Here is a 14519-nt window from a genome sequence, read left to right as displayed (position 1 = left end):
ACTCTGTTAGTTGAGAACACACATGGCAAATAAGTTTCTGAGAATGCTTCTGTCTAGTTTTTACTTGAAGATATTTCCTTTCTCACCATAGGCCTGAAAGCGCTTGAAACGTCAGCTTGCAGATACTACAGAAAGAGTGTTTCAAACCTGCTCTATGAAAGGGAATGTTCAGTTCTGTGACTTGAATGCAAACATCACAAAGAAGTTCCTGAGAATGCTTCTCTCTAGGTTTTATATGTAATCCCGTTTCCAACGAAATCCTCAAAGCTATCCAAATATCCACTTTCAGATTCCACAAAAAGAGTGTTTCAAAACTGCTCTGTAAAAAGAAAGGTTCATCTCTGTTAGTTGAATACACACATCACAAACAAGTTTCTGAGAATGCTTCTGTCTAGTTTTTATGGGAAGATATTTCCTTTTTCAACATAGGCCTCAAAGCGCTCCAAACGTCCACTTCCAGGTAGTGCAGAAAGAGTGTCTCAAACCTGGTATATAACAGGGAACATTCTACTCTGTGACTTGAATGAAAACATCACAAAGCAGTTTCTGAGAATGCTTCCGTCTAGATTTTATATGAAGATATTCCCGTTTCCAACGAAACCTTCAAAGCTATCCGAATATCCACCTGCAGATTCTACAAAAAGAGTGTTTCCAAAATGCCGTATCAAAACAAAGGTTCAACTCTGTTAGTTGAGAACACACATGGCAAATAAGTTTCTGAGAATGCTTCTGTCTAGTTTTTACTTGAAGATATTTCCTTTGTCACCATAGGCCTGAAAGCGCTTGAAACGTCAGCTTGCAGATACTACAGAAAGAGTGTTTCAAACCTGCTCTATGAAAGGGAATGTTCAGTCCTGTGACTTGAAGGCAAACATCACAAAGAAGTTCCTGAGAATGCTTCTCTCTAGGTTTTATATGTAATCCCGTTTCCAACGAAATCCTCAAAGCTATCCAAATATCCACTTTCAGATTCCACAAAAAGAGTGTTTCAAAACTGCTCTGTAAAAAGAAAGGTTCATCTCTGTTAGTTGAATACACACATCACAAACAAGTTTCTGAGAATGCTTCTCTCTAGTTTTTATGGGAAGATATTTCCTTTTTCAACATAGGCCTCAAAGCACTCCAAATGTCCACTTCCAGGTAGTGCAGAAAGAGTGTTTCAAACGTGCTCTATAAAAGGGAATATTCAACTCTGTGACTTGAATGCAAACATCACAAAGCACTTTCTGAGAATGCTTCTGTCTTGATTTTATATGAAGATATTCCCGTTTCCAAAGAAACCTTCAAAGCTATCCAAATATCCACCTGCAGATCCTACAAAAAGAGTGTTTCCAAAATGCTGTATCAAAACAAAGGTTGAACTCTGTTAGCTGAGAACACACATCGCAAATAAGTTTCTGAGAATGCTTCTGTCTAGTTTTTATTTGAAGATATTTCCTTTTTCACCACAGGCCTGAAAGCGCTTGAAACGTCCACTTGCAGATACTACAGAAAGAGTGTTTCAAACCTGCTCTATGAAAGGGAATGTTCAGTTCTGTGACTTGAATGCAAACATCACAAAGAAGTTCCTGAGAATGCTTCTCCCTAGATTTTATATGTAATCCCGTTTCCAACGAAATCCGCAAAGCTATCCAAATATCCACTTTCAGATTCCACAAAAAGAGTGTTTCAAAACTGCTCTGTAAAAAGAAAGGTTCATCTCTGTTAGTTGAATACACACATCACAAACAAGTTTCTGAGAATGCTTCTGTCTAGTTTTTATGGGAAGATATTTCCTTTTTCATCATAGGCCTCAAAGCGCTGCAAATGTCCACTTCCAAATATTACAAAAAGAGTGTTTCAAACCTGCTGTATGAAGGGAAGTGTTCAACTCTATGAGTTGAATGCAAACATCACAGAGAAGTTTCTGAGAATGCTTCTGTCTTGATTTTATATGAAGATATTCCCGTTTCCAACGAAACCTTCAAAGCTATTCAAATATCCACTTGCAGATTCTACAAAAAGAGTGGTTCCAAAATGTTGTATCAAAAGAAAGGTTCAACTCTGATAGTTGAGGACACACATCGCAAATAAGTTTCTGAGAATGCTTCTGTCTAGTTTTTATTTGAAGATATTTCCTTTCTCACCATAGGCCTGAAAGCGTTTGAAATGTCCGTTTGCAGATACTACAGAAAGAGTGTTTCAAACATGCTCTATGAAAGGGAATGTTCAGTTCTGTGACGTGAATGCAAACATCACAAAGAAGTTCCTGAGAATGCTTCTCCCTAGATTTTATATGTAATCCCGTTTCCAATGAAATCCTCAAAGCTATCCAAATATCCTCTTTCAGATTCCACAAAAAGAGTGTTTCAAAACTGCTCTGTAAAAAGAAAGGTTCATCTCTGTTAGTTGAATACACACATCACAAACAAGTTTCTGAGAATGCTTCTGTCTAGTTTTTATGGGAAGATATTTCCTTTTTCAACATAGGCCTCAAAGCGCTCCAAACGTCCACTTCCAGGTAGTGCAGAAAGAGTGTCTCAAACCTGGTATATAACAGGGAACATTCTACTCTGTGACTTGAATGAAAACATCACAAAGCAGTTTCTGAGAATGCTTCCGTCTAGATTTTATATGAAGATATTCCCGTTTCCAACGAAACCTTCAAAGCTATCCGAATATCCACCTGCAGATTCTACAAAAAGAGTGTTTCCAAAATGCCGTATCAAAACAAAGGTTCAACTCTGTTAGTTGAGAACACACATGGCAAATAAGTTTCTGAGAATGCTTCTGTCTAGTTTTTACTTGAAGATATTTCCTTTCTCACCATAGGCCTGAAAGCGCTTGAAACGTGAGCTTGCAGATACTACAGAAAGAGTGTTTCAAACCTGCTCTATGAAAGGGAATGTTCAGTCCTGTGACTTGAAGGCAAACATCACAAAGAAGTTCCTGAGAATGCTTCTCTCTAGGTTTTATATGTAATCCCGTTTCCAACGAAATCCTCAAAGCTATCCAAATATCCACTTTCAGATTCCACAAAAAGAGTGTTTCAAAACTGCTCTGTAAAAAGAAAGGTTCATCTCTGTTAGTTGAATACACACATCACAAACAAGTTTCTGAGAATGCTTCTGTCTAGTTTTTATGGGAAGATATTTCCTTTTTCTACATAGGCCTCAAAGCGCTCCAAAGGTCCACTTCCAGGTAGTGCAGAAAGAGTGTTTCAAACCTGCTCTATAAAAGGGAATATTCAACTCTGTGACTTGAATGCAAACATCACAAAGCACTTTCTGAGAATGCTTCCGTCTAGATTTTATATGAAGATATTCCCGTTTCCAACGAAACCTTCAAAGCTATCCGAATATCCACCTGCAGATTCTACAAAAAGAGTGTTTCCAAAATGCCATATCAAAACAAAGGTTCAACTCTGCTAGTTGAGAACACACATCGCAAATAAGTTTCTGAGAATGCTTCTGTCTAGTTTTTACTTGAAGATATTTCCTTTCTCACCATAGGCCTGAAAGCGCTTGAAACGTCAGCTTGCAGATACTACAGAAAGAGTGTTTCAAACCTGCTCTATGAAAGGGAATGTTCAGTTCTGTGACTTGAATGCAAACATCACAAAGAAGTTCCTGAGAATGCTTCTCCCTAGGTTTTTATATGTAATCCCGTTTCCAACGAAATCCTCAAAGCTATCCAAATATCCACTTTCAGATTCCACAAAAAGAGTGTTTCAAAACTGCTCTGTAAAAAGAAAGGTTCATCTCTGTTAGTTGAATACACACATCACAAACAAGTTTCTGAGAATGCTTCTGTCTAGTTTTTGTGGGAAGATATTTCCTTTTTCAACCTAGGCCTCAAATCGCTCCAAACGTCCACTTCCAGGTAGTGCAGAAAGAGTGTCTCAAACCTGGTATATAACAGGGAACATTCTACTCTGTGACTTGAATGAAAACATCACAAAGCAGTTTCTGAGAATGCTTCCGTCTAGATTTTATATGAAGATATTCCCGTTTCCAACGAAACCTTCAAAGCTATCCGAATATCCACCTGCAGATTCTACAAAAAGAGTGTTTCCAAAATGCCGTATCAAAACAAAGGTTCAACTCTGTTAGTTGAGAACACACATGGCAAATAAGTTTCTGAGAATGCTTCTGTCTAGTTTTTATTTGAAGATATTTCCTTTCTCACCATAGGCCTGAAAGCGCTTGAAACGTCAGCTTGCAGATACTACAGAAAGAGTGTTTCAAACCTGCTCTATGAAAGGGAATGTTCAGTCCTGTGACTTGAATGGAAACATCACAAAGAAGTTCCTGAGAATGCTTCTCTCTAGGTTTTATATGTAATCCCGTTTCCAACGAAATCCTCAAAGCTATCCAAATATCCACTTTCAGATTCCACAAAAAGAGTGTTTCAAAACTGCTCTGTAAAAAGAAAGGTTCATCTCTGTTAGTTGAATACACACATCACAAACAAGTTTCTGAGAATGCTTCTGTCTAGTTTTTATGGGAAGATATTTCCTTTTTCAACATAGGCCTCAAAGCGCTCCAAACGTCCACTTCCAGGTAGTGCAGAAAGAGTGTCTCAAACCTGGTATATAACAGGGAACATTCTACTCTGTGACTTGAATGAAAACATCACAAAGCAGTTTCTGAGAATGCTTCCGTCTAGATTTTATATGAAGATATTCCCGTTTCCAACGAAACCTTCAAAGCTATCCGAATATCCACCTGCAGATTCTACAAAAAGAGTGTTTCCAAAATGCCATATCAAAACAAAGGTTCAACTCTGTTAGTTGAGAACACACATCGCAAATAAGTTTCTGAGAATGCTTCTGTCTAGTTTTTATTTGAAGATATTTCCTTTCTCACCACAGGCCTGAAAGCGCTTAAAACGTCCGCTTGCAGATACTACAGAAAGAGTGTTTCAAACATGCTCTATGAAAGGGAATGTTCAGTTCTGTGACTTGAATGCAAACATCACAAAGAAGTTCCTGAGAATGCTTCTCTCTAGGTTTTATATGTAATCCCGTTTCCAACGAAATCCTCAAAGCTATCCAAATATCCACTTTCAGATTCCACAAAAAGAGTGTTTCAAAACTGCTCTGTAAAAAGAAAGGTTCATCTCTGTTAGTTGAATACACACATCACAAACAAGTTTCTGAGAATGCTTCTGTCTGGTTTTTAGGAGAAGATATTTCCTTTTTCAACATAGGCCTCAAAGCGCTGCAAATGTCCACTTCCAAATATTACAAAAAGAGTGTTTCAAACCTGCTGTATGAAGGGAAGTGTTCAACTCTATGAGTTGAATGCAAACATCACAGAGAAGTTTCTGAGAATGCTTCTGTCTTGATTTTATATGAAGATATTCCCGTTTCCAACGAAACCTTCAAAGCTATTCAAATATCCACTTGCAGATTCTACAAAAAGAGTGTTTCCAAAATGTTGTATCAAAAGAAAGGTTCAACTCTGTTAGTTGAGGACACACATCGCAAATAAGTTTCTGAGAATGCTTCTGTCTAGTTTTTATTTGAAGATATTTCCTTTCTCACCATAGGCCTGAAAGCGTTTGAAATGTCCGTTTGCAGATACTACAGAAAGAGTGTTTCAAACATGCTCTATGAAAGGGAATGTTCAGTTCTGTGACGTGAATGCAAACATCACAAAGAAGTTCCTGAGAATGCTTCTCTCTAGATTTTATATGTAATCCCGTTTCCAACGAAATCCTCAAAGCTATCCAAATATCCACTTTCAGATTCCACAAAAAGAGTGTTTCAAAACTGCTCTGTAAAAAGAAAGGTTCATCTCTGTTAGTTGAATACACACATCACAAACAAGTTTCTGAGAATGCTTCTGTCTAGTTTTTATGGGAAGATATTTCCTTTTTCAACATAGGCCTCAAAGCGCTCCAAACGTCCACTTCCAGGTAGTGCAGAAAGAGTGTCTCAAACCTGGTATATAACAGGGAACATTCTACTCTGTGACTTGAATGAAAACATCACAAAGCAGTTTCTGAGAATGCTTCCGTCTAGATTTTATATGAAGATATTCCCGTTTCCAAGGAAATCTTCCTAGCTATCTAAATATCAACTTGCAGATTCTACTAAAGGAATGTTTCCAAAATGCTGTATCCACACAAATGTTCAACTCTGTTAATTGAGGACATACAGCACAAAGAAGTTTCTGAGAATGCTTCTGTCTAGTTTTTATTTGAAGATATTTCCTTTTTCACCACAGGCCTGAAAGCGCTTCAAACGTCCGCTTGCAGATACTACAGAAAGAGTGTTTCAAACCTGCTCTATGAAAGGGAATGTTCAGTTCTGTGACTTGAATGCAAACATCACAAAGAAGTTCCTGAGACTGCTTCTCCCTAGATTTTATATGTAATCCCGTTTCCAACGAAATCCGCAAAGCTATCCAAATATCCACTTTCAGATTCCACAAAAAGAGTGTTTCAAAACTGCTCTGTAAAAAGAAGGGTTCATCTCTGTTAGCTGAATACACACATCACAAACAAGTTTCTGAGAATGCTTCTGTCTGGTTTTTAGGAGAAGATATTTCCTTTTTCAACATAGGCCTCAAAGCGCTGCAAATGTCCACTTCCAAATATTACAAAAAGAGTGTTTCAAACCTGCTGTATGAAGGGAAGTGTTCAACTCTATGAGTTGAATGCAAACATCACAGAGAAGTTTCTGAGAATGCTTCTGTGTTGATTTTATATGAAGATATTCCCGTTTCCAACGAAACCTTCAAATCTATCCAAATATCCACCTGCAGATCCTACAAAAAGAGTGTTTCCAAAATGCTGTATCAAAACAAAGGTTCAACTCTGTTAGTTGAGAACACACATCGCAAATAAGTTTCTGAGAATGCTTCTGTCTAGTTTTTACTTGAAGATATTTCCTTTGTCACCATAGGCCTGAAAGCGCTTGAAACGTCAGCTTGCAGATACTACAGAAGGAGTGTTTCAAACCTGCTCTATGAAAGGGAATGTTCAGTCCTGTGACTTGAAGGCAAACATCACAAAGAAGTTCCTGAGAATGCTTCTCTCTAGGTTTTATATGTAATCCCGTTTCCAACGAAATCCTCAAAGCTATCCAAATATCCACTTTCAGATTCCACAAAAAGAGTGTTTCAAAACTGCTCTGTAAAAAGAAAGGTTCATCTCTGTTAGTTGAATACACACATCACAAACAAGTTTCTGAGAATGCTTCTGTCTAGTTTTTATGGGAAGATATTTCCTTCTTCATCATAGGCCTCAAAGCGCTCCAAATGTCCACTTCCAGGTAGTGCAGAAAGAGTGTCTCAAACCTGGTATATAACAGGGAACATTCTACTCTGTGACTTGAATGAAAACATCACAAAGCAGTTTCTGAGAATGCTTCCGTCTAGATTTTATATGAAGATATTCCCGTTTCCAACGAAACCTTCAAAGCTATCCGAATATCCACCTGCAGATTCTACAAAAAGAGTGTTTCCAAAATGCCATATCAAAACAAAGGTTCAACTCTGTTAGTTGAGAACACACATCGCAAATAAGTTTCTGAGAATGCTTCTGTCTAGTTTTTACTTGAAGATATTTCCTTTCTCACCATAGGCCTGAAAGCGTTTGAAATGTCCGTTTGCAGATACTACAGAAAGAGTGTTTCAAACATGCTCTATGAAAGGGAATGTTCAGTTCTGTGACTTGAATGCAAACATCACAAAGAAGTTCCTGAGAGTGCTTCTCCCTAGATTTTATATGTAATCCCGTTTCCAACGAAATCCGCAAAGCTATCCAAATATCCACTTTCAGATTCCACAAAAAGAGTGTTTCAAAACTGCTCTGTAAAAAGAAAGGTTCATCTCTGTTAGTTGAATACACACATCACAAACAAGTTTCTGAGAATGCTTCTGTCTAGTTTTTATGGGAAGATATTACCTTTTTCATCATAGGCCTCAAAGCGCTGCAAATGTCCACTTCCAAATATTACAAAAAGAGTGTTTCAAACCTGCTGTATGAAGGGAAGTGTTCAACTCTATGAGTTGAATGCAAACATCACAGAGAAGTTTCTGAGAATGCTTCTGTCTTGATTTTATATGAAGATATTCCCGTTTCCAACGAAACCTTCAAAGCTATTCAAATATCCACTTGCAGATTCTACAAAAAGAGTGTTTCCAAAATGTTGTATCAAAAGAAAGGTTCAACTCTGTTAGTTGAGGACACACATCGCAAATAAGTTTCTGAGAATGCTTCTGTCTAGTTTTTATTTGAAGATATTTCCTTTCTCACCATAGGCCTGAAAGCGTTTGAAATGTCCGTTTGCAGATACTACAGAAAGAGTGTTTCAAACATGCTCTATGAAAGGGAATGTTCAGTTCTGTGACGTGAATGCAAACATCACAAAGAAGTTCCTGAGAATGCTTCTCTCTAGATTTTATATGTAATCCCGTTTCCAACGAAATCCTCAAAGCTATCCAAATATCCACTTTCAGATTCCACAAAAAGAGTGTTTCAAAACTGCTCTGTAAAAAGAAAGGTTCATCTCTGTTAGTTGAATACACACATCACAAACAAGTTTCTGAGAATGCTTCTGTCTAGTTTTTATGGGAAGATATTACCTTTTTCATCATAGGCCTCAAAGCGCTGCAAATGTCCACTTCCAAATATTACAAAAAGAGTGTTTCAAACCTGCTGTATGAAGGGAAGTGTTCAACTCTATGAGTTGAATGCAAACATCACAGAGAAGTTTCTGAGAATGCTTCTGTCTTGATTTTATATGAAGATATTCCCGTTTCCAACGAAACCTTAAAAGCTATCCAAATATCCACCTGCAGATCCTACAAAAAGAGTGTTTCCAAAATGCTGTATCAAAACAAAGGTTCAACTCTGTTAGTTGAGGACACACATCGCAAATAAGTTTCTGAGAATGCTTCTGTCTAGTTTTTATTTGAAGATATTTCCTTTCTCACCATAGGCCTGAAAGCGTTTGAAATGTCCGTTTGCAGATACTACAGAAAGAGTGTTTCAAACATGCTCTATGAAAGGGAATGTTCAGTTCTGTGACGTGAATGCAAACATCACAAAGAAGTTCCTGAGAATGCTTCTCCCTAGATTTTATATGTAATCCCGTTTCCAACGAAATCCGCAAAGCTATCCAAATGTCCACTTTCAGATTCCACAAAAAGAGTGTTTCAAAACTGCTCTGTAAAAAGAAGGGTTCATCTCTGTTAGTTGAATACACACATCACAAACAAGTTTCTGAGAATGCTTCTGTCTGGTTTTTAGGAGAAGATATTTCCTTTTTCAACATAGGCCTCAAAGCGCTGCAAATGTCCACTTCCAAATATTACAAAAAGAGTGTTTCAAACCTGCTCTATGAAGGGAAGTGTTCAACTCTATGAGTTGAATGCAAACATCACAGAGAAGTTTCTGAGAATGCTTCTGTCTTGATTTTATATGAAGATATTCCCGTTTCCAACGAAACCTTCAAAGCTATCCAAATATCCACTTGCAGATTCTACAAAAAGAGTGTTTCCAAAATGTTGTATCAAAACAAAGGTTCAACTCTGTTAGTTGAGGACACACATCGCAAATAAGTTTCTGAGAATGCTTCTGTCTAGTTTTTATTTGAAGAAATTTCCTTTCTTACCATAGGCCTGAAAGCGCTTGAAATGTCCGTTTGCAGATACTACAGAAAGAGTGTTTCAAACATGCTCTATGAAAGGGAATGTTCAGTTCTGTGACGTGAATGCAAACATCACAAAGAAGTTCCAGGGAATGCTTCTCTCTAGATTTTATATGTAATCCCGTTTCCAACAAAATCCTCAAAGCTATCCAAATATCCACTTTCAGATTCCACAAAAAGAGTGTTTCAAAACTGCTCTGTAAAAAGAAAGGTTCATCTCTGTTAGTTGAGTACACACATCACAAACAAGTTTCTGAGAATGCTTCTGTCTAGTTTTTATGGGAAGATATTACCTTTTTCATCATAGGCTTCAAAGCGCTGCAAAAGTCCACTTCCAAATATTAGAAAAAGAGTGTTTCAAACCTGCTGTATGAAGGGAAGTGTTCAACTCTATGAGTTGAATGCAAACATCACAGAGAAGTTTCTGAGAATGCTTCTGTCTTGATTTTATATGAAGATATTCCCGTTTCCAACGAAACCTTCAAAGCTATCCAAATATCCACTTGCAGATTCCACAAAAAGAGTGTTTCCAAAATGTTGTATCAAAAGAAAGGTTCAACTCTGTTAGTTGAGGACACACATCGCAAATAAGTTTCTGAGAATGCTTCTGTCTAGTTTTTATTTGAAGATATTTCCTTTCTCACCATAGGCCTGAAAGCGTTTGAAATGTCCGTTTGCAGATACTACAGAAAGAGTGTTTCAAACATGCTCTATGAAAGGGAATGTTCAGTTCTGTGACGTGAATGCAAACATCACAAAGAAGTTCCTGAGAATGCTTCTGTCTAGATTTTATATGAAGATATCCCGTGTCCAACGAAATCCTCAAAGGTATCAAAATATCCACTTGCAGATTCTACAAAAAGAGTGCTTCAAAACTGCTCTGTCAAAAGGAAGGTTCAACTCTGTTACTTGAGTACACACATCACAAGGAAGTTTCTGAGAATGCTTCTGTCTGGTTTTTAGGAGAAGATATTTCCTTTTTCAACATAGGCCTCAAAGCGCTGCAAATGTCCACTTCCAAATATTAGAAAAAGAGTGTTTCAAACCTGCTGAATGAAGGGAAGTGTTCAACTCTATGAGTTGAATGCAAACATCACAGAGAAGTTTCTGAGAATGCTTCTGTCTTGATTTCATATGAAGATATTCCCGTTTCCAACGAAACCTTCAAAGCTATCCAAATATCCACTTGCAGATTCTACAAAAAGAGTGTTTCCAAAATGTTGTATCAAAAGAAAGGTTCAACTCTGTTAGTTGAGGACACACATCGCAAATAAGTTTCTGAGAATGCTTCTGTCTAGTTTTTATTTGAAGATATTTCCTTTCTCACCATAGGCCTGAAAGCGTTTGAAATGTCCGTTTGCACATACTACAGAAAGAGTGTTTCAAACATGCTCTATGAAAGGGAATGTTCAGTTCTGTGACTTGAATGCAAACATCACAAAGAAGTTCCTGAGAATGCTTTCTCCCTAGATTTTATATGTAATCCCGTTTCCAACGAAATCCGCAAAGCTATCCAAATATCCACTTTCAGATTCCACAAAAAGAGTGTTTCAAAACTGCTCTGTAAAAAGAAAGGTTCATCTCTGTTAGTTGAATACACACATCACAAACAAGTTTCTGAGAATGCTTCTGTCTAGTTTTTATGGGAAGATATTTCCTTTTTCATCATAGGCCTCAAAGCGCTGCAAATGTCCACTTCCAAATATTACAAAAAGAGTGTTTCAAACCTGCTGTATGAAGGGAAGTGTTCAACTCTATGAGTTGAATGCAAACATCACAGAGAAGTTTCTGAGAATGCTTCCGTCTAGCATTTTATATGAAGATATTCCCGTTTCCAACGAAACCTTCAAAGCTATCCGAATATCCACCTGCAGATTCTACAAAAAGAGTGTTTCCAAAATGCCGTATCAAAACAAAGGTTCAACTCTGTTAGTTGAGAACACACATGGCAAATAAGTTTCTGAGAATGCTTCTGTCTAGTTTTTACTTGAAGATATTTCCTTTCTCACCATAGGCCTGAAAGCGCTTGAAACGTCAGCTTGCAGATACTACAGAAAGAGTGTTTCAAACCTGCTCTATGAAAGGGAATGTTCAGTCCTGTGACTTGAAGGCAAACATCACAAAGAAGTTCCTGAGAATGCTTCTCTCTAGGTTTTATATGTAATCCCGTTTCCAACGAAATCCTCAAAGCTATCCAAATATCCACTTTCAGATTCCACAAAAAGAGTGTTTCAAAACTGCTCTGTAAAAAGAAAGGTTCATCTCTGTTAGTTGAATACACACATCACAAACAAGTTTCTGAGAATGCTTCTGTCTGGTTTTTAGGAGAAGATATTTCCTTTTTCAACATAGGCCTCAAAGCGCTGCAAATGTCCACTTCCAAATATTAGAAAAAGAGTGTTTCAAACCTGCTGTATGAAGGGAAGTGTTCAACTCTATGAGTTGAATGCAAACATCACAGAGAAGTTTCTGAGAATGCTTCTGTCTTGATTTCATATGAAGATATTCCCGTTTCCAACGAAACCTTCAAAGCTATCCAAATATCCACTTGCAGATTCTACAAAAAGAGTGTTTCCAAAATGTTGTATCAAAAGAAAGGTTCAACTCTGTTAGTTGAGGACACACATCGCAAATAAGTTTCTGAGAATGCTTCTGTCTAGTTTTTATTTGAAGATATTTCCTTTCTCACCACAGGCCTGAAAGGGCTTAAAACGTCCGCTTGCAGATACTACAGAAAGAGTGTTTCAAACCTGCTCTATGAAAGGGAATGTTCAGTTCTGTGACTTGAATGCAAACATCGCAAAGAAGTTCCTGAGAATGCTTCTCTCTAGGTTTTATATGTAATCCCGTTTCCAACGAAATCCGCAAAGCTATCCAAATATCCACTTTCAGATTCCACATAAAGAGTGTTTCAAAACTGCTCTGTAAAAAGAAAGGTTCATCTCTGTTAGTTGAATACACACATCACAAACAAGTTTCTGAGAATGCTTCTGTCTGGTTTTTAGGAGAAGATATTTCCTTTTTCAACATAGGCCTCAAAGCGCTGCAAATGTCCACTTCCAAATATTAGAAAAAGAGTGTTTCAAACCTGCTGTATGAAGGGAAGTGTTCAACTCTATGAGTTGAATGCAAACATCACAGAGAAGTTTCTGAGAATGCTTCTGTCTTGATTTCATATGAAGATATTCCCGTTTCCAACGAAACCTTCAAAGCTATCCAAATATCCACTTGCAGATTCTACAAAAAGAGTGTTTCCAAAATGTTGTATCAAAAGAAAGGTTCAACTCTGTTAGTTGAGGACACACATCGCAAATACGTTTCTGAGAATGCTTCTGTCTAGTTTTTATTTGAAGATATTTCCTTTCTCACCACAGGCCTGAAAGCGCTTAAAACGTCCGCTTGCAGATACTACAGAAAGAGTGTTTCAAACCTGCTCTATGAAAGGGAATGTTCAGTTCTGTGACTTGAATGCAAACATCACAAAGAAGTTCCTGAGAATGCTTCTCTCTAGGTTTTATATGTAATCCCGTTTCCAACGAAATCCTCAAAGCTATCCAAATATCCACTTTCAGATTCCACAAAAAGAGTGTTTCAAAACTGCTCTGTAAAAAGAAAGGTTCATGCTCTGTTAGTTGAATACACACATCACAAACAAGTTTCTGAGAATGCTTCTGTCTAGTTTTTATAGGAAGATATTTCCTTTTTCAACATAGGCCTCAAAGCGCTCCAAACGTCCACTTCCAGGTAGTGCAGAAAGAGTGTCTCAAACCTGGTATATAACAGGGAACATTCTACTCTGTGACTTGAATGAAAACATCCCAAAGCAGTTTCTGAGAATGCTTCCGTCTAGATTTTATATGAAGATATTCCCGTTTCCAACGAAACCTTCAAAGCTATCCGAATATCCACCTGCAGATTCTACAAAAAGAGTGTTTCCAAAATGCCGTATCAAAACAAAGGTTCAACTCCGTTAGTTGAGAACACACATGGCAAATAAGTTTCTGAGAATGCTTCTCTCTAGTTTTTATTTGAAGATATTTCCTTTCTTACCATAGGCCTGAAAGCGCTTGAAATGTCCGTTTTCAGATACTACAGAAAGAGTGTTTCAAACATGCTCTATGAAAGGGAATGTTCAGTTCTGTGACGTGAATGCAAACATCACAAAGAAGTTCCCTGAGAATGCTTCTGTCTAGATTTTATATGAAGATATCCCGTGTCCAACGAAATCCTCAAAGATATCAAAATATCCACTTGCAGATTCTACAAAAAGAGTGCTTCAAAACTGCTCTGTCAAAATGAAGGTTCAACTCTGTTACTTGAGTACACACATCACAAGAAAGATTCTGAGAATGCTTCTGTCTAGTTTTTATGGGAAGATATTTCCTTTTTCATCATAGGCCTCAAAGCGCTGCAAATGTCCACTTCCAAATATTACAAAAAGAGTGTTTCAAACCTGCTGTATGAAGGGAAGTGTTCAACTCTATGAGTTGAATGCAAACATCACAGAGAAGTTTCTGAGAATGCTTCTGTCTTGATTTTATATGAAGATATTCCCGTTTCCAACGAAACCTTCAAAGCTATCCAAATATCCACTTGCAGATTCTACAAAAAGAGTGGTTCCAAAATGTTGTATCAAAAGAAAGGTTCAACTGCTGTTAGTTGAGGACACACATCGCAAATAAGTTTCCTGAGAATGCTTTCTGTCTAGTTTTTATTTGAAGATATTTCCTTTCTCACCACAGGCCTGAAAGCGCTTAAAACGTCCGCTTGCAGATACTACAGAAAGAGTGTTTCAAACCTGCTCTATGAAAGGGAATGTTCAGTCCTGTGACTTGAAGGCAAACATCACAAAGAAGTTCCTGAGAATGCTTCTCCC

General features: G+C 37.5%; 1 annotated feature.

Annotated features, from left to right (window-relative positions):
- Positions 1 to 14519: part of a centromere (Linear centromere model derived predominantly from reads generated in PMID: 17803354. This region does not represent an actual centromere sequence, as long-range ordering of repeats and unmapped WGS contigs is not provided by the model. For details of model production, see http://arxiv.org/abs/1307.0035.) that runs on past both edges of the window.

This window comes from Homo sapiens, chromosome 9, assembly GCF_000001405.40.
Source record: "Homo sapiens chromosome 9, GRCh38.p14 Primary Assembly".
Lineage (NCBI taxonomy): Eukaryota > Metazoa > Chordata > Mammalia > Primates > Hominidae > Homo > Homo sapiens.
This window is presented reverse-complemented; position numbering and strand designations above follow the sequence as displayed.